We start from the raw sequence: 21,749 nt of genomic DNA on the forward strand, positions 1-21,749 counted from the left end.
CTTTGATGAGTAAATACCAAAATTGCTTCTTCAGTAAAAAAAAAAAAAGCCACTCCGAAAATTTGTGCATACAACTCCACACAGCAAATGTTTTCCGATTATCGTCTGTAGAAAAGAAGTGGGAACTTCAATTTATTTTCTTTCATCAGATAATAATATTTTAAAAGTGATTTATACTTTTATAGATTACCAGAGAATTTTCAGAGTTGCTTTTTGTCCAGGACATGTGTGGGGCTCAGAGACACCATAGACAAAGTTGCCATGTTCTGTGATGCTTCTGTCCAATAGGGTTTCAGAAAACTTGACAAAAATTAAACTGTAAGGTGGAAGAGCTGCCCTTGGGAACTGAGAGGACAGGTTTCAGGCCTGGGGTGGGATGGACAGGGGAAGCCTCCAGGAGGAGGAACATTGGAGGAGATGCTGGAGAGTGAGGCGCAGTGGGTCCAGGAGACAGGGGAGGGAAAGCGAGGAGGAAAACGTGTGTGCCTGGCACAGGCCAGGCCATGAGAAGAGGACGGTGGATTTTCTAGGACCACTGGGATGAGTAATTGGTGAGGACGCAGGAGCAGGAAGGGCAGACCATGGAGGGACTGGGCAGGGGAGGCAGGGAGGGCTGATCCCTGAGGACTGCGCTCTGTGGGGAGGGATTCGAATGTCGGTTTGGTTCCCTGAGATGTTACCCCAGCCCATGAGCTCAGCCTATGGGAAGGACATTGAGGAGTGAGTGGGCCCTGTCCCCTGGGGAGGCTCCTGGGCTAAGTCAGTGGGGTGTGGGTCTGGGAGAAAGGAGGGTGGAGAAGAGCAAAGAGGACCCCCGGCTGCCTGACTGCAGGGCTCATGGGGCTGCTCTTGTTCGCCGCCTTTTCTCCATCGCTCAGACCCTCACTTCCCCGCCAGGGCAGGTTTCTGCCCCCTCCGTCCTTTTGCAGATGTAGGTGGGCTCCATGGACCAGAAAACTCAGATCTGCAGTCTCCTCTCCACCTGGCGCCCACACAGGTGAGGCTGGGAGCAGCCTGAAGGGAAGTGCGGGTGCGGGGGTCGCAGCTGCGCAGTGAGGGGAACCGGAGGCTGCCGCGCAGGCTGGGCTTGGGGGCGGGAGCCAGGCCCACGTGGGGCGTGAGGGCCGCGGGTGGAGGGCGAGGCTGACAGGGAGTGAGGGAGGAAGGTGGAGGGCGGTGATCAGAGGGCGCGGCTGACAGGGGGAGAGGGCGGTGAGATCTACAGGGGAACTCAGGGCGGATGTCTGCCGGGTCCGCGTTGGGCTTTCTGGTAGCTTCTCCGCGAAGCGCGCTTGTTCCTGAGGCGGTGCCTGCCTGTGTCGTCGTCCCTGTTTGTTCTTCTTCAAACGTCAGGATTTCTCCGTGTTTCCCAGACCGTAACGTACATTTAAAAAGCTTGCTTTCTGTCACATATGCCCTTTTATATTATGGACATAACAATTGTTACTTACCTACGTTTCCTATCTGTGAATTATTCATAGATACAGAATTTACCAAAACTTTTAGTTGACACATTGCGTATATTTATGGATAACAGTGTGATATTTTGATTCTTGTATTCATTGGGGAAGATTCAATCAAGCTAATTAACATGGGCATCAACTCACCAGCTAATACTTTATGGTGAGAACACTAAAAATCTATTATTTAGCTATTCTAAAATGTACAGCGTGACTTCGGAGGAAATGATACTGCCCGGCCTCAGTAGCCCGAGACTGATCATTTCTAAATCCTGAGGTTCCCATTTCTGAGGGGGTCATGGCTGCATGCCCGTAAGCAAGGGGGGTGTTGGGGTGCTTTGTTTGCCCTGTTAATTTTGGGTGCCTCTGTGTTCTGAGAACTATTAAGATAATATGTGTTTGAAAAATCCAGTTGCTTTAACTTTTCCTTTGTTTTAGTCTGTTAACAACGTTATCGCTTTTCTTTTACTGACTTTAGATTTAATATATTCTTCCTTTTCTAGGTTCCAAAGGTGGAAACACAGATGACAGATTTTTGGTCTTTTCGTCATTTCCTATATATGTGTTCAATAGTATTTATTTGCCTATATGTTCTGCTTTCCTTTCATCCTACAAATTTTGATAAATTGTGTTTTTATTTTCATTTAGTTAATTTAAAAAAATTTCTCTGGAGATATCTTCTTTGATCCATATATTATATGGAAGTGTGTTGTTTAATCTCAATGCGTTTTGGGATATTACAGTTATCATTCCATTCATCCTTTGATTTCTATTTTAATTCCACTGTGGTCTGACAGCTGACATTGTATGATTTACTTTTTAAAAATTGTTGGGGTATTTTTTGTCCCAGAATGTGGCACATTTTGCTGAATATTCCATGTGAGCTTAAGAAGAATGTGTCCTCTGGAGTAGTTGAGGGAAGGAGACTGTAGGTGTCAGTTATGCCCAGTTGCTTGTTGGTGCTGTTGAGTTCAGCTTTTCACTCCTGAATTACTGCCTGCTAGATCTGTCCGTATCTGATATAGGGTTTTAATGTTTCCAACTATAATACTGAATTCATCTTTTTCCTTGTGGTTCTCTTGATTTCTGCCTCATAGTTTATGCTCTGTTATCAGGCTCACAGGCTTTAAGAATTAGGACATCTTCTTGGAAGAATGGCTCTTCATCTCTATGTAATGCCCTTCTTTATTCCTGATAACTTTTCTTGCTTTGAAGTCTGCTCTGCCTGTAATTCATATAGCTCCTCTTGTTTACTTTGATTAGAGTTAGCATCGTACATTTTGTTCCATTCATTTACTTTTATTTGTCTTTATATTTAGATTGGGCTTATAAATAACAGTTGTGTCTTGTTTTTTGATTCACTTTGTAAATCTGTGTCTTTTACTTGGTGCAGTTAGACCACTGACATTCAAAGTGGTAAGCGATGCAGTTGGATTAATATTTATCATATTTGTCAATGTTTTCGATTTGTTGTCCTTGTTCCTTCTTCATATTTTCATCTTCCATTCATTTTCTGGCTTTTGTGGTTCTCATTGAGCATTTTACATTTTTCCATCTCGTATTTATAAAAATATCAGTTATATATAATTTTAACTTTTTATTGGTGTAACATTTTTATATTCTTAGTTTATTATAAGAGAAAGCAATTTCATGAAAAAATAGAAAAATTATTAAATAATATATGCCCATGTATATATCTTATGTATAAGTCTATATGTGTACAGATATATGCACATGTGCATGTGTGTTTGTATATGTGTGTGTACATGTTTATATATACACATATATATATGAAGTGGATATCAGCAATAATGCAAAGGACAGGAGAAAGGAATTAGGATTATTTGTTATAAGATACAGCAACTGTGAAGCAATATAACTTATTTGAAAAGTAGCTGAGTTTAGTATTTTTTCTTTTTTTTAATTTTATTTATTATTATTATTATTATACTTTAAGTTTTAGGGTACATGTGCACAATGTGCAGGTTAGTTACATATGTATACATGTGCCATGCTGGTGCGCTGCACCCACTAACCCGTCATCTAGCATTAGGTATATCTCCCAATGCTAACCCTCCACCCTCCCCCCACCCCACAACAGTCCCCAGAGTGTGATGTTCCCCTTCCTGTGTCCATGTGTTCTCATTGTTCAATTCCCACCTATGAATGAGAATATGCGGTGTTTGGTTTTTTGTTCTTGCGATAGTTTGCTGAGAATGATGATTTCCAATTTCATCCATGTCCCTACAAAGGACATGAACTCATCGTTTTTTATGGCTCCATAGTATTCCATGGTGTATATGTGCCACATTTTCTGAATCCAGTCTATCATTGTTGGACATTTGGCTTGGTTCCAAGTCTTTGCTATTGTGAATAATGCCGCAATAAACATACGTGTGCATGTGTCTTTATAGCAGCATGATTTATAGTCCTTTGGGTATATAGCCAGTAATGGGATGGCTGGGTCAAATGGTATTTCTAGTTCTAGATCCCTGAGGAATCGCCACACTGACTTCCACAATGGTTGAACTAGTTTACAGTCCCACCAACAGTGTAAAAGTGTTCCTATTTCTCCACATCCTCTCCAGCACCTGTTGTTTCCTGACTTTTGAATGATTGCCATTCTAACTGGTGTGAGATGGTATCTCATTGTGGTTTTGATTTGCATTTCTCTGATGGCCAGTGATGGTGAGCATTTTTTCATGTGTTTTTGGCTGCATAAATGTCTTCTTTTTTTTTTTTTTTTTTTTTTTTGAGACGGAGTCTCGCTCTGTCGCCCAGGCTGGAGTGCAGTGGCGGGATCTCGGCTCACTGCAAGCTCTGCCTCCCGGATTCACGCCATTCTCCTGCCTCAGCCTCCCAAGTAGCTGGGACTACAGGCGCCCGCCACTACGCCCGGCTAATTTTTTGTATTTTTAGTAGAGACGGAAATGTCTTCTTTTGAGAAGTGTCTGTTCATGTCCTTTTCCCACTTTTTGATGGGGTTGTTTGTTTTTTTCTTGTAAATTTGTTTGAGTTCATTGTAGATTCTGCATATTAGCCCTTTGTCAGATGAGTAGGTTGCGAAAATTTTCTCCCATTTTGTAGGTTGCCTGTTCACTCTGATGGTAGTTTCTTTTGCTGTGCAGAAGCTCTTTAGTTTAATTAGATCCCATTTGTCAATTTTGTCTTTTGTTGCCATTGCTTTTGGTGTTTTAGACATGAAGTCCTTGCCCATGCCTACGTCCTGAATGGTAAAGCCTGGGTTTTCTTCTAGGGTTTTTATGGTTTTTATAGGTTTTATGGTTTTTATGGTTTTTATGGTTTTTCTTCTATGGTTTTTATAGGGTTTTATGGTTTATATGCAAGCAATATAACTTTATTTGAAAAGCAGGTCAGTTTAGTATTTTTTAGTTTTTATAGTTTTTATATGATTTTGATTTTTTTAACGTTATATATTTAGGTTTGTGGATACATGTATAGTTTTGTTATATAGGTAATCTTGTGTAATGGAGGTTTATTGCACAGATCATTTTTTCACCCAGGTACTAAGCCTACTGCCCAATATTTACTTTTTCTGCTCCTCTCCCTCCTTCTACCCTTCACTTACAAGTAGGCCCCAGTGTCCTTTGTTCCGTTCTTTGTGTTCATGAGTTCTCATCATTTAGCTCCCACTTAAAAGTGAGAATATGTGATAATTTGGTATTCTGCTCCTGTGTTAGTTTGCTAAGGATAATACCTTCTAGCTCCATTCATGTTCCTGTGAAAGACATGATCTCATTCTTTTTTTCAGCTACATAGTATTCCATGATACACATGTACCACATTTTCTTTATCCATCCTGTCATTGATGGGCATTTAAGTTGATTCCATGTCTTTTTTCTTGTAAGTAGTGCTTCAATGAATATTCATGTTGATGTGTCTTTTTGGAAGAATGATTTGTATTCCTCTGGGTGTATACCCTGTAATGGGATTGCTGAGTTGAATGGTAGTTCTGATTTTAGCTCTTTGAGGAATTGACATATTGCTTTGCACAATGGTTGAATGAACTTACACTCCTACCAACAGTGTGTAAGTGATCCTTTTTATCTGCAACCTCACCAGCATCTGTTATTTTGACTTTTTAATAATAGCCATTCTGACTGGTGTGAGATGGTATCTCATTGTGGTTTTGATTTGCATTTCTCTAATGATCGGTGATACTGAGCTTTTATTCATATGCTTTTTGGCCGCATGTGTGTCGTCTTTTGAAAATTGTCTGTTCTTCTCCTTTGCTAGTTTTTTTTTTCTTTTCTGAGACTGGGTCTCACTCTGTCACCCAAGCTGGAGTGCAGTGGCGCGATCTCGGCTCACTGCAACCTCCACCTCCCAGATTCGAGCGATTCTCCTGTCTCCCCCTCCCAAGTAGCTGGGACTACAGGTGCATGCCACCACACCTGGCTGATTTTTTGTATTTTTGGTAGAAATGGGGTTTCACCATGTTAGCCAGGATGGTCTCGATCGCCTGACCTCGTGATCTGCCCGCCTTGGCCTCCCAAAGTGTTGGGATTACAGGCGTGAGCCACCCCGCCCGGTGCTTTGCCTATTTTTTAATGGGGTTGTTTGTTTTTCTCTTGTAAATTTGTTTAAGCAAGGGGTCGGGTGCACTACCGAGGCTGCCTTTATGGAGAACCCTGCACTTGTCCCAAGCCTGAAACCCCCGAATTGCCGGGTCCAGGAAGACTGGAGGTGGTGCCTGATAGAATGACTTCTTTTCATTTGGGTCCATGCCCAGTGGTGGGATTGCTAGATTGAATGGTAGCTCTGCTTTTAAAAGTTCATTGAGAAATCTCCATACTGTTTACCATACAGGTTGTACTAATTTCCATTCCCACCAAGGGTGTCTAAGCATTCCCTTTTCACCTCATCCACACCAATGTCTATCATTTATTGACTTTTTCATAATGATCCTTCTGACTAGGGTAAGATTGGTATCGCATTGTGGTGTTAATTTGCATTTCCTGATGATTAGTGATGTTGAGCATTTTTTTTTCATATGTTTGCTGGCCATTTGTGTATCTTCTTTTGCCTGTTCATGTCATCTCCCCACTTTTTAATGGGGTTATTTATTTTTTTCTTGCTGATTTGTTTGTGTTTCTTGAAGATTCTGGATTAGTCCTTTGTTGGATGGACAGTTTCCAAATATTTTCTCCCATTCTGTAGGTTGTTTCTTTATTCTGTCGATTATTTCTTTTGCTCTGCAGAAGCTTTTCAGTTTCACTAAGTCCCATTTATTTGTTTTTATTTATGTTATAGCTGCTTTTGGGGTCTTAGTCAAACATTCTTTGCCAGGCTAATGTCCAAAAGATTTTTTCCTAGTTTTTCTTCTAGAATCTTTATGGTTTCGTGTCTTACATTTAAGTCTTTAATCCATCTTGAGTTAATTTTTATTTATGGTGACAGATAAGGATCCAGTTTCATTCTTCTGCATGTGGCTATCTTATTTCCCAGCACGTTTTATTGAATGGGGTGTTCATTCCTCAGTGTATGTTTTTGTCTGTTCTGTTGAAAATCAGTTAATCGTAAGTATTTGGCTTCATTTCTGGGGTCTCTGTTCTGTTCCTCTGGTCTGTATGTCTACATTTATACCAGTACCATGTTAGTGTGCCAGCAGATGTTGTAATGGACTGTGTTGGTTGACCGTGGGCCAGAAGGTGGCACTTGCAGGAGAGAGCCAGCTGCAGTCACGGTGGTGGGATTTATGCTTAACCTTTGTTACCCAGGGGAAGTAGTCAGCTGATGGGAAGTGACGCGGAACTCTGAAAAGTCACTGTTCCTGTTCTGCTACTAGGACAGGTAGAGGGGCAAAGCCGAGTGTGGACTGGGTCAGGAAAGTCCATACTCTGCCTCTCCAAGTGTGGGTGTAAGTAGAAGCCACAGTGGGATTCAGTGGACAGTTCCCTGACCACTGGGATAATGTTCCAGGGAGGAGAACACCCTCTGCTACATGAGAGTCTGTACATGGAGAGAGGGGTAGCAAGTGGCAGGTCAATTCCCACGACCTTGACACAGAAGGTCTTACACATGCAGACTTCTGCTGGCAAACACCCACGACAGTCAGCTAAGTCTCAGGCAGTCTAGGCTGAGAACACAAACCTGCCCCAGGCTGCAAGACTTCCCACTGGAGATTGAAACTGAAACGGTAGCTCTGAGGCCACACCCCTTGATTTGACATGTGAAGTAGCAGTACCCAACTCCCATGACCCTGGCACAAGAAAGCTTCCTGCATGCCCCTTGGTTCGGGTCTTAGGGGGTTCATCCTCTGCTCAGTATTAGATCAAATACAAATCTTAGTTGGTCAGCTTCTCCCTCAGTTGGGAGCTTCTTCCAGTGCGTGACTGCTGCCTGGGTTACTTGGCTGATTTCTGCAAGATCTTCTGTGAATTAGGGTCAGGAATATCTTCCCTCTGTCCCTGCTGAGATCTGGGAGTGCACACGCAGCACACCCAGGTGCCACTCCTTCTTTCATGGTCCCCTCCTCTGTAAGTCAGCTCCAGTGCTGGGCAGGGTTAAGGCACTTCCCTGTGTCCTCGACTGCCTGGTTCCCCAGTGGGAATGTAACACAGAGAGAGTCTCCTCCTTTTGCACTCTGAAGGCTCAGTTGTCCATCTGACACATGGTGCAAGTTGCTGCCTGCTGCTCCTTTCAACAGGTTCTTTCACTTTTTCTGTTGAGTTCCTGGGTTTGTTGCATACAAATTCACAGTGTGAATCTCTAGATACTATTTTGCTCTTTCTAAGCAGGTGAGGCACACTAACAAAGTCTCCAATCTGCCATTTTGAAAAACAAAAAACAAAACAAAACAAAAAATGCTCCACTTTATGAGCAGAATGTTTACCAAAAGTTATTTGGACCTTTCATCCTGAAAGTGTCTATTCTCCTCCAATCATCGTTGTATTTATGCAGTCATTTTTATCAGTATGCAAACATGGATATTTGTTTTACTCTTTCCTTCTACTACTTCATTTATTTGTTTAAATTGTTGCAGTGTTGGCTATTGGAAGGTCTTTAAGTTGGATCGTTTGTCATTTTGAAACACTACCATAATGAAACTTCGCTGTTGTTATATGGTTGGTTAGATGTTTGCACTGTTGGCTATTGGAAGGTCTTTCAGTTGGATCGTTTGTCATTTTGAAAGACTACCATAATGAAACTTCGCTGTTGTTATGTGGTTGGTTAGTTGTTTGCACTGTTGTTTGGCGTTTTATTTTTTCTGGCACTACTAGGTGCTTAAGCTAATTGTGTGGATTTCCTCACAAGCCTGATATTAAACATTTTTTTTTTCACAGAGACCTAGTTCTTTTTATGGGAAAATTGAATTAGAAATGGAGATCTGGGCTCTTGGCATATTCATTGCTCCTGGGGCATCTGTTGATTCGTGATCTTGTGTGCTGACAGAGCAAATACATCTATGTACACTGATTCACACACACACACACACACACACACACACAGAGACATACACACGCACACAAATATTTTATCATGTATCTGTATCTTTAAGTTAAACATGAATTCCTAATAATCCTCCAGCACCCCATGATCTAATCCAGTACCACGTGAATCACTGCACCTATTCCCGCTTACTTGTATGTAGCCTACCACACTAACAGTGATAAAGATGCTTCTGTTATTTAATCACATAATCTGAAAGACTTGTATAAGTGGTTTCAGAATTAGAAATGTATATGGCCATGAGAAATAACTTTACCAACTAAAGTTTTTAGGGATAAATCTTTACCCTTTAGACTCAGAGTATCCACTTACTTGCTACGTTCCTTGGGTCAGTTGCTTTTCCACCACTCCATTCAGTGAGGTTATTTCACTGATGTGTTATTTCATTCTATTATGTGTATAGCCCCATGCTATCTGCCACCTACTCTAGGAGGTTTTTAATTTGTATATTTTAAATTCATTTTTTGTATTATAAAGTTATTTAGGATTTCTAAAATATAATCATGCATTTATCATTACAGTATGATACCAGAATAATTTCACTGCCTAGAGCAAATCTGCTGTACCTCACCAATTTGACCTGCCTCTTTTCCAAGCTCCTAGTAAATACCAAACATTTTATTATCTGTATACTTTTTCACATTGCAGAGTGTCACACGACCAAAATCACACAAATATTTTGCCTTTTTAAATTTACTTTTTTTTGCAATATACCCTTTAGATTTGTGAAATGTATCTCATGGTTGTTTAGAGTTGCATGTTCCTAATGACAAAAGACTTAGACCTCATATGATGTGCTTACTAGACGTGACTATAGTATCTTTGGATACATGTCAGTTCAGATAGTTCACCAATTTGATTGTGATATTTGCCTTTTTGAGTTGTAAAATATTTTATATATTGTGGCTAATAGATTGTTTTCTGCTATGTGATTGTGAAGATTTTCTTCTATTCTTTGCATTATCTTTTTACTTTTAATTATGTACTTTGAGTCTCAGAAGATTTTACTTCTCACAAAGTTAAATATATTCATTTTTTATTTCCTTTTCTTGGGCTTTAAGTATCATATCTTAGAAATTATAGGAGTTATTGTTTAACCTAAGACCCAAATTATGTATTTCTATATTATCTTCTAAGGGTTTGGTCTATTTAGATCTTACATTTGGATATATGATTATTTTGAGCCAATTATGTATATGGTATGAGTGAGAAGTTCAACTTGCTTGTGGATATTCAATTGTCCTAGCAACATTTGTTACAAATATATTTTTCCATATTGAATTGGCTTGGCAACCTTATAAAATCATTTGACTATAAAGGTAAAGATTAATTTTTGGACATTGAATTCTACTATATTCCTTTGACCTGTATGTCCAAGTTTATACTATTATTGAGCCTTTAAATTAAATTATGATGATACTGAGTTTTTCATGGATGCCCTTTAAAATAAAGAAACTTTCCTTATAGGCTTAATTTGTTGTATACTGTTATCAAAAATGGATTTTGGATTTGTCAGGTGCCTTTCCTGCATCTTTTGAGATGATCATATGGCTTTTGTTTTTTATTTTATTCTTATAGGTCATGACACTAATTATTTTATATGTTGAACCAAATTTGCATTCCTGAGACAAATACCCTTGATGATGGTGTATAATTCTTTTTACATTTGCTGATTTGTATTGCTAGCATTTTATTGAAGACATTTACCCTTTATTTATAAAACATATTGGCCTTAATTTTTCTTTCATGAAATGTCTTGCTTTAGTTGTAATGTCAGTGTAAACTAACTAATAGTATACATCAGGAAGTGATATCTTCTCCACTTTTACAGTTGTTTAAATTTTTATGAAGAGTTTGTGATAGATTTTTATTAATTATTTTCAGGTTTGGAATAGTTCACCAGTGAAGTCATCTCAACCAGCACAGGGCCTTGACTCCTAACAACAATCACACGAACTTGGAAGAGGAGCCTTCCCCAGCTGAACCTTCACTTGAGACCTCATCCTTGGCCATCATCTACATCTGGATTCATGATACAGAGAAACCGTGAGTAAGAGCCACTTAGTGTGTGACAATTTGTTATTCAGCAATAAATAATACACCTGACAGTCAATGCAATGTGGTATCCTGGACAGAAAAATGACATTTTTTACTTAAAAGCCTAGTAAAATATGGAAAAAGCCTATACTTCAATAAATAGTTTTGTGCCAACTATTTTTTAGGGCTCATGGTTACATAATCTATTACGTTGCATGTAATTCAAAGATGTCTAAAGCTTTCTGTACTATCTGTGCATATTTCTGTGTATTTAAAATTATTTCAAAGAAAAAATGTTTTTGAAAAAAGTATTAAATGTGATATGAAAAAAATTCCAAAGCACAGACAGAATAGCTTCAGCTCAGGAGATGAAAGGGCATGTAGAGAGAGAATAGCAAAGCATCCTTCCATATTGATTTACCAACTTGAACACCGGTACACTTGCTTCAGGAAGATCCCCCCAAGTTCCAGAGACTCATCCTCTTTCATCTTCTTCATCATATTCCGCATTTTTCAGTCACCAGTTTTAGCATCTGGTGCTAACTACGTAACGATTTTTTGAAAGACAGATGCCTATTACTCACATGTCTCAAAAAGCCCCATTTTCAGATATAATTTAGCAGGACTCCAACAAACAGACCAGAATTTATTGAGAGCTTGCAGTGAGGAGTGTCTTAATTCGAACACGACTATGTTGACAACACATCCTCTTGTGAGTGAAGCATTCATACAGAATGAGTCGCTGAAACTCAATAACACATGTCTACTGTACAAGAAAGGTAACAATCAATATAATGATCTAAAATTATTCTGGGGACATAGGGGACATGTGTCCAAGATTTATGAGATGTGAGCAACCAAGAGAGCGTGAACACTGATATTTTATAAGTGCTCCAAATCAGTAGATGGGCATTTGATTTTCCAGTTAGGGCTGCAGTCAGGGTCTCTTGGCTTCAATACTGTACACGGAGAATTTCAATGACAGATCTTGGTTAAAATAACAACAGTAATAACCCCTCATCTATGATATTGCAGCCTGGCACCATTTAACTTAATTTTACTGCGTATAAATAGCAACCGTATACTCCACGCAAACTAGAATGGCAGTGGAATTGATGTAGTGAAGAAAGTGACAAATTATTTTCCAAATATAAAGCAAACTTCAGGTTTTATAGGGAAACAAATGGAGGTAAAAATATTTTTATCCTTATTTTTCTGATAATTCTGTTCTGCTCTTATAAATAGAAAGCTCCACTTTCATTATTTTATAATATAGTGAGTTTATCAGCCACATGTATGAAAATTGTAGAGTAAAAGTAGGTTTGTGTCGACTTGGTTGGTTCATTTGACTTACACGCATCATTTACTTTATCTCGAATGGTTATTTTTTAAGCCTTGGTTTTGGTACAACATGTAAAAGTGTCAGTCTTTGTGCAATATTAAATCTTCACTCAAATAACGTTTCTTTGTGCCTTTGCCTTTGTTTCTGCGTTGCTCCTGTACTTCTGTGAACCATATTTCAGTGAGTACTGATGACACTAGCAGTCCAGCCTGCATGGATGCTGACATGGATGCTGTCTCCCATTCTTACCACTGGATGTGAAGAAATGCTAGATGCAATCCATCCAATCTGTACTCGACTCTCAATTGCATCTTCTCAACTCACAGTGACTTCCAAAGTCCATGACACACCACAGCCTGGAACATCTCCCAAGGTGGTATCTTGAGGCAATGGTAGAGCTCATGTCACAGTATTGTATGTCTCAGGTATCACTGTCCTTCACTGTTTGATATAATCTCTCTTACAAACCATTGTTCCATACATTTTGCCCCTTTTCTGTTTGTTTATACATGTGGTATGGCGTGTCTAAACCTCAGTGAGGATATTAGAATAGGGTTCTGCATATTTAGAGGTGTGGATCATTGGAAAGCATCTTAGAACCTACCTGCCACATGAAGTCCTGTCTAATCTGTATCAGTTTCTGGGTCTTCACTTATTTTTTTGCCCTTGATCTTAGTGAAAAGAACTTGTCAGGTGTTCCATAGGATGTATCGCAATATGGATTTGTTATGTTTTTTCATAATTTGAGTAAGATTAAACATTCATTTATACACGTATTTGTCTAATGTTGAAGACAAAAAACCTGAACAATATATTATTTGGAAATACAAATTTAGAAAATAATAATGAAGAATGAGGCTGGGCATGGTGGCTCATGCCTGTAATCCCAGCAATTTGGGAAGCTCAGGTGGGTGGATCACTTGAGGCCAGGAGTTTGAGCCCAGCCTAAGTAACATGGCGAAACCCCATCTCTACTAAAAATACAAAAATTAGCCGGGTGTGGTGGTGCATGCCTGAATGTTTCATATATTCTGGATAATAATCTCCTAACAGTTATATGACTTGAGAATATCTTCTTCCATTATTTCAGTTGTCTTGATGGTGTACTTTGCATCTTAAAAGGTATTGATCCACATGAAGTTCAATGTATCTATTTTTTTTTTCTGTCACTTGTACTTTTGTGTCACATGTTAGAATCCATTGTTTCATGTAAGGCCATGAAAATCTATTTTTATATTCTCTTCTGTGGGATTTTTAGTTTTAGCTCTTACATTTAGCCACATATTCTATTTTGAGTCAAATACATATATGGTGCAGGAAACAGTTTAACTTGCATGTGGATATCCCTTTCTCCCAGCAACATTTGTTGAAAAACTATTTTTTCATGTTGAATTAATTTTTCAACTTTGAAAATAAGTTTGCCCTATATATAAAGATTGATTTTGGGGTGCTCAACTCTATTCTGTTGGCTTATATGTCTTTCCTCATGTTATGTGAGTTTTCCATGGATGCTCTTTGTAGATTTAGAAAGTTTTCTTCTATGCCTAATTTTCCCAGAGCTTTTATCATGAATGGGTTTGGAATTTGTCAAATGCCTATTCTGTGTCTTTAGAGGTGACCATGAGTCTTTTTAAAAAATTCTGTTAGTATAGTTTATAACACCAGTTGTTTTTGTATGTTTAACCAGACTTACATTGCAGGGATAAATAGTTTTGCTCCTAGTGTATACTCCTTTTTATATGTTACTAGTTAATTTTGATAGTATTTCCTTGATAATTTTTGCCTGTTTCACATTGGTCTGTAATTTTCTTTTCTTGAAATGTCTTTGTCTAGCTGTGGTGTCAGGGAACACTGGCTTCATACATTGCATTAGGAAAGGTTCTTTACTAGTCTGTTTTTATTGATTGTTATTAATTCCCAAAAGGCTTTGAATAACACACCAGTGAAGTCATCTTGACCTGGACAGAAATTGAATCCTCCCAAGAATCCCAGGAGCTTGGAAGGGGATCCTTCCCCAGATGAGCCTTCCCTTGAAATCTCTGCCAGGCATCTGACCTAGAGAAACTGTAAGTACTGTGTAGGGCTGGGTTGGAAAGTCTAAACTATGTAGACAACAATCGGTCAGTTATATGCCTGACAGTAAATGTAATGTGGTATCTTGGATTAGATCCTAGAACAGAAAAATGACACTAGTGGAAAACCTCATAAAATATGAAGAAAATCTTTTCCAGTTAATAGTTTTGTACCACTGTCAATTTCTGAGTTTTCATAAATATGCTACGGTGATATAAGGTGCTAACATTTCAGGAAGCTGTAGGATATATGAAACTCTATTATCTTTACTACTTTCTATAAAACTAAAACTATGATAAAATAAAAATATTTCTTGAAATGTAATATTCAGGTACCAGAAAATAAAACAACAATAACAAAGACAGATTTAAACCACAATAAAACCACAGATCAGAGGATGAATGGAGATATAGGGAGACTATGGCAAAGTAGCTTGCCTTATTATCCCCCATTCCTACACAGGGCACCTGCTTCAGAAAGACACCATCAAGCTCCAGGGACACTCATCCACTTTCTTCTTTCCCATCACACTTCCCATTACCCAGTTATCAATTGTGTTCATAACCACTTTTCCAAGGAAAGACGCCTTTCTCACATATGTTAGAAGGCCCTGTTTTCAGGCATTTTCTGTCAGTGTCTTTGTAGGATCTCACTATAAAGACATTTTAGAAGACATGACTTCCAGACATTAGAAGAGAAGATTGAGAAACGCCAGTGATGGTGAACATAAATACTTGTGCATTAAGGGTGTTTTCTTAGTACAGGGATTACTTTTATTCCCCAAGTTTTAAAAGGAAATGATGCCTTAAGCCTTTGAGAAAACACTGTGATAATTCAGTTTTCTTCGTCATGCAGACTCCATCACGAATTTATGGGACCACACATTCTCTTGACACTCACATCATGGATCTATATTGTCTTGTGATATATTAATCTGTTCTCATGATGCTAATAAAGACATACCTAAGACTGGGTAATTTATAAAGGAAAGCAGTTTAATTGGCTCACAGTTTCACATGGCTGGGGAGGCCTCACAATCGTGGCAGAAGGCAAATGAGGAGCAAAGTCACATCCTACATAGCGGCAGACAAGAGAACTTGTGCAGGGGAACTCCCATTTATAAAACCATCAAATCTTGTGAGACTTGTTTACTACCATGAGAATAGTATGGAGGAAACTGCCCCCATGATTTACTTTTCTCCACCTGGCCCTGCCCTTGACACTTAGGGATTATTACATTTCAAGGTGAGATTTGGGTGGAGACACAGCCAAACCATTTCAAGCGACAAGCCCAAAAGCCACAGAATAGACATTATCATGGAGGAAAGTTAACTAGATATGAAAAAAGTTTATAATCATGGAGTTGTAGGTTAATTCCTGCTCAAAAAGACGTGGAAATGAGCCTTTAGACAGACATCAGATATATGAAGGTGAGGCATGTTAGTGATACAGAGTGTGTTGTGCAGAGGTGGAAATAGCCTAATAGAAAAAAGGAAAGAAAGTACAACGTACCCCAGCCCACCATGCAGTGATCTAAGAGATGGACAGAGGCTGAGAGCTGACTCTGGATATGTGCTGGATAAACAAAGATCCCCACGGCAGGGAGGACTGTTTCATCTTTCCCAACACAGCTCCCTGTTTACAGGCCACACCACTTTACAGAGGAACACCAGGGATCTTCCAGGAACCATGCCCACAAAGCTTACTAAGCCATGGGACTGCATACTACACTCCCAAGGACATCCACAAAGTCAAGACTCTTGCTTTTTCAGACTGTGATCATGGGCTACATTCTCCATACCATGTTCATAGCTTCAGCGAGAAAACAAACTCCTGCATCCTGGAGACCTACAGTGAGAGACACAGCTGACCTTGAACATATTTCTCACTTCTGAGAAGATTATAGCAGTAACTCAGGTGCTATTATTTGGGGCATTTATAATTCAGTAAACCTTCTTACTCCTCTAGTCTTACAATTCACCCCATAGGAAAGGATGGTTTCATTTAAATTGGCAATCTTAAGTCATGGAGGTTTGCTCTTTTTATTTCATTATAACAGGAGTTTCTATAAGGTAAGTGACTTGTACAATCCCATTTTCCTCTTCATTTCAATGCATATATATGGTCTATTATGATGTGTACTGTTAAGATCATCCATGACCAAATTCTTCAGGAAAAAAAAAATCACCAAGTGGCAGGCCATGAGGGAGACAGAAGTAGATGTGTAGAAGGACAGACTCATCCGTAGGTGGCAAGAGGGTTGAGGAGCTCTGAGTGCTCAGGGTTAAGACTGGAAAAGTGATTAGACATGAAACTCTGCTACCATAATGTCCCAGGCACAGAGGACACAGTGCTGAGCACTAAGCTCCTAAACATTACCATGAGTCTGGATTGGCTGAGTCTGGATTGGCCACCAGAATTCTCAGAAAGATGCCATTGAAAACACCCCATCATCCAACCACTTCCTTAGGCAAGAACCCAGTGCTGTCTCTGCCCTCTAGTCTGAATACTGAATCAAGTTTAAAGGGTGCATGACTCCTACACTTGAGATTAGGGCTTCTTGTTCACTGAATTGAGCCCTAGTAGAAGCTGAAACTCTCGGTACAAATATGCTCAACATTCTAAATTATAAATTATAAGAGTTTCCTCTTCATTCAGTACACTCTTTGGGGAACACCAAAGCCTTTTTCATTTTCTAAGTATCAACAAGTGGAGCTGACAAGAGTAACAAGTGGTCAGAGCAAGGCATTTCATGAAAACAGCAATGCACAGGCGTCTGCAGTCCCTGCTTACAGTGAGATTCACATGACCATCGTTCATGGGATACGAAGGATAAAAGGGGAGGGAGAAAAAAATATGCAGTTGATCTGGATGAAGAATCGGATTTGAAAGCAACTTAGAATAATCTCTGCTTATATTTCTAAGATTAAGGCAAAAAGTCTCAAGATACAGGATTTTCTGTCTTCAGAGAGTTGCACTCTGCTGCAAACTTTCAAGTAACACTTCACCATTTCTATCTTCCTTCTCCATGGGATCTTTGAGCCATAATTTATAAAATCACCTGTACGTCCCTTGTATTTTTGTTATGTCTAATAATCTCTTGAGGTCTCTCTAGGGATAGTGACTATAAATTATCACCCTGCCCAACAGGACTCCAGGAAACTGTATCCTGGATGTTTACAGTGTGCCTTTCATGGGATACTTATTTATCCTGGTGGATACCCCAAAGCATAAGTGTACAATATTTGACCCAGCATCCTTCTCACAGGATATTTGTTTATACTGTCAGACACTCTTGTGGCACTTGTCAGACCTGTGTCCACTCCATTCCCACCAAGGTTGCCACAGTCTAGGGGAGCTCTGAGTTCAAAAAAAGTTGAGTTCACATGTGTTGGTCATGTGAGACATGGAGGAGGCAACTCAACAAAGTACAGGAATTTCTTGCAGTTGGGGATCACTGGGCACCATTGCAGGGTCTAACTGACACATTAGGTCTTCTCCAATCTGCAAGTTTCATAGTCTTCACTTCTTTTTCTTGACCTTGACCCTGTTGAAATGTACAGGTCAGATATTTTGTAAGATGTCCCACAATATGGATTTGTCTCATGATTTCTCATGATTAAACTAGGGACATGTATACATTAAACACATGTCATCTAATTTTGAAGACAGGAAAAACTAAACAGTATGGATATTAGAAATATAAACATAGAGATAAATATAACAAACACAAATTAGAGGATAAATCACAGTAATTGCAACCTTCAGTGATTAAGGAAGGTGATGAAGCTAAGGAGATCCATGAATGGCCATCAACATATTGCTCATGTTCTATTTTATAAGATCAGCAGTGACTTTAAATAAAAAGAAACTTTATACATTTTAGAGTCATTTAGGATTTACAGAATTGTTTTAAATACAGTACATAGACTTTCCATATATCCCACTACAGTTGCTCTTTTTATTAACTTCTTAATTTAGGACATTTGTCACAATTAACCAATTTTAAACAGTATCATTAACTACTCTTCATACTTTATTCAGATTTTCTCAGTTTTCACTTAATGTCTGATTTCTATTCCAGGATTTCATCCAGGATACCTCAGCACAGTTAGATATCATGTCTCCTTAGACTTCTCTGACTGTTGCAGTTTCTTAGAGTTTCCTAGTTTTTGATGACATTGACATTCCTAATGTGGGATTTCTCTGAGGTTTCTTTTATGATAAGACTAGATTTGTGGGTTTAGGAGAGGAAGATGACAGAGGAAAGGTGCCATTCTCTTCACATTATACCAAGGGCATAGGCTCTCAACAGGCTTTATCACTGTTAATGTTAATTTGATCCCCTGGATGAGGTGGTTTTTATCAAATTATCAAACACTGTGAAATTATTATTATTTTTCCCTTTCCCCATAGAATGTTTCAGAACAAAGTCACTAACACAACAGACATTCAAGAAGTGGGGGTCATGGGCCAAGCACCATGGCTCATGCCTGTAATCCCAGCACTGTTGGAGGCTGAGACAGGCAGATCATCTGAGGTCAGGAGTTCGAGACCAGTCTGGGCAACATGGCGAAACCTCATCTCTACTAAAAATACAAAAATTAGCTAGGCACAGTGGTCGTGCCTGTACTCCCAGCTACTCGGGAGGCTGAGGCAGGAGAATCACTTGAACCTGGGAGGCAGAAGTTGCAGTGAGCTGAGATCACACCACTGCCCTGCAGCCTGGGCAACAAAGCGAGACTGCAGACTCCATCTCAAAAAAAAAAAAGTGGGGATTCATGATCTACCTTCTTATTGGCAGAATGTCTACAAGTTTATTTGAACCCTCAACCGTAAACATGTGTCTATTCTAACTATTACATATTTATTCATTTCTATATAAATTATTTATATCATCATCTAAACATGGATATTTATTTTATACTTTACATATGCTAATTTATTTGATTGTTCAAATTGTTCCATGGTTGGCTATTGGAAGGTTTTTTAGTTGTCTCTGGTATAATTTTGAAATACCCACATAATTAAGGTTCAATGTTGTATGGTTGGTTGGTTTTGTTGTTGGTTAGCATTTTCTTTTCTTTAACCACTAGTAGGTGCTCCAGACTTGGTTGGTTTTCTTGTTGTTTAGCATTGTCTTTTCTTTAACCACTACTAGGTGCTCCAGGCTAACTGTGTATTTAATTGTACTCCAGGCTAGTTGTATAATTGTGTAATTTCTACTAATGTTTCCGATACCATATGATCTAATCCAGCACCATATGAATGATGTATGTAGTCTCTTACTCTCCCTGTGAAGAAGTCGATGCTGTTCACTTAATCGTACTACCTGAACATCCATGCAGAGTGGTTTCAGAACTGGTAACTTATACCCCAATGGGAAACAATTTTACCAAGCAAAGTACAGTACATAGGTATAAATACTTTGGCTTTTAGCCTCAGAATATCCACTGATTACCCAAATTACTTAGGTCCATTGCTTTCCTCCACTTTCTTTAGTGAGGTTATTCCATACATTCATTACATGGTTATATTATTTTTTTGGGCATTCCTCCTTGGAAACCCTCTACCTACTAAATAAGGTTTTAAATTTGCATAATTTAGATACACTGTTTGTGTTATAAAGTTCTTCAGGATTCGGAAAACATTATTATGTATCCACCATTACAATATCAGAGAGAGTAATTTCACTGCCCCAAAGAAACCTCCTGTATTTCACGCATCCCACCTTCTCTCTCCCAAGCTCCTCGTTACCACCGAGCTCTTTGCTATCACTATCCTTTTCTCCTTTTCCAGAGAATCATATAGGTGGAATTACACAGTATTTTGCCTTTTCCAACTTATATTTTGTCACATAGCAAGATACCTTTTAGATTTTTGAAGTATGTATCATGTTTTTTTAGACTTCCCTTCCCCTATTGTTGCAGGACAGGTGAGCCCCAAATTTGGGGCTTCAGCTGGCAGGGTTCTTGGCTTTGCCTAGGAAAGTGTTTAAGGGCAAGACAGTGGTGATAGACAGAAATGTTTTATTGAACAGTACTGCTCCTTAAAGAGCAGGGCTAACTCATAGGCGTTGCGTTTGTTGGTAACCTATGGGCCCTTGTCAACTATCTTTACACTAAGGGAAACCCACTTTCAATTACATGTAAATTGAGGAGTGGATCAATGAAATTTGATGGGCAGGTTATTCAGAACTTTCCAGGACAGGAGTGGTAATTTCTGGGTTGTTGCCATGGAAAGAGGTGGTTAAATTCCAGGTTGTTGGCATGGAATTTATAAACAGTCATGGCGCTGGAGGGAATGTCTCATGCCAGTGAGCAATGAGGACAACCAGGGATCCCTTTGTCTCTTTTTGCCAGTTTCTTCACTGTATGCTGTCTGGACCAGATCTTGTTTTGATCAGCAGGGTTGTGACTAGAAAACAACTTGCCGGTCTCCTATCTCATAATGGCAAAAGGCATTGAGTGTCTTTTCGTGTGATTTGGGTATGACTGTAGCTTTTCTGGAGAATTGGGTATTTGAATAAATTCCATTTTTGATTGAGATATTTGCCTTTTTTATTTTTGAGCTCTAAGATGTTGTCATATATATATGATTAACAATAGACCATTATCACCTATAAAATTTGCAAATATTTGGTTTTTAATTTAACTTTTAAGTTTCAGGGTACAAGTGCACATTTGTTACATAGGTAAACTTGTGTTATGGTGGTTTGATGTAGATTATTTCATCACCAATGTACTAAGCCTAGAACCCATTAGTTATTTTTTCTGATCCTCTCTCACCGCCCACCCTCCACCATCTGATAGGCCTCTAATGAGGTTTAATATATCTGTTTTTTCTTCTTCCCTTTTGCTTTCAGCATCGTATCTTAGAAAAGAGTGTTTAACCTAAGACCATGAAGATGTATTCCTGTGTATTTTCTATATTTTGGACCTTTGTAGCTATTATATAGAGATATATGATCATTTTGAGTCAATTACATTTTCAGTGTGAGGCAGGAGTTCGACTTGCATGGAATATGCACTTGTTTCAGAAATATTTGAGTAAAAATATTTATCCATATATAATTTATTTGGTGACATTATAAAATTGTTTCACTATAAATGTAAGTATTCACTTTTGAACACTATATTCTATTACATTGATCAACATCTGTATTCTTATACTAGTACCATAAATCTTGATTATTATTACTTTGTAGTGAGTTTTGAAGGCAGGAATTATGTATCTCCCATGCCAGCCTTTTTTCTTCTTTCTCAAAATTGTTTAGGCTGCTCTGGGTCTATTGCATTATATATGAATTTTAGATAAACTTTGTGAATTTAGAAAAAGGAAATGTCACCTGGGATTTTGATAGA

The 21,749-nt window shown here is 38.8% G+C and overlaps 1 long non-coding RNA gene across 1 annotated transcript in view; it reads left to right on the forward strand.

Moving 5' to 3' along the window:
- The first annotated feature begins 1,139 nt into the window (after window positions 1-1,139).
- LOC105370733 (uncharacterized) overlaps window positions 1,140-21,749 on the forward strand; it is a 440,742-nt gene continuing 420,132 nt past the window's right edge. The window contains exons 1-5 of the long non-coding RNA XR_007064539.1: window positions 1,140-1,381; window positions 10,818-11,749; window positions 12,494-12,685; window positions 14,237-14,378; window positions 16,031-16,457. This is a non-coding gene — a long non-coding RNA (uncharacterized LOC105370733). The remainder of the gene's footprint in view (window positions 1,382-10,817; window positions 11,750-12,493; window positions 12,686-14,236; window positions 14,379-16,030; window positions 16,458-21,749) is intronic.

Source organism: Homo sapiens, chromosome 15 (genome assembly GCF_000001405.40).
Source record: "Homo sapiens chromosome 15, GRCh38.p14 Primary Assembly".
Taxonomy (NCBI): Eukaryota; Metazoa; Chordata; class Mammalia; order Primates; family Hominidae; genus Homo; species Homo sapiens.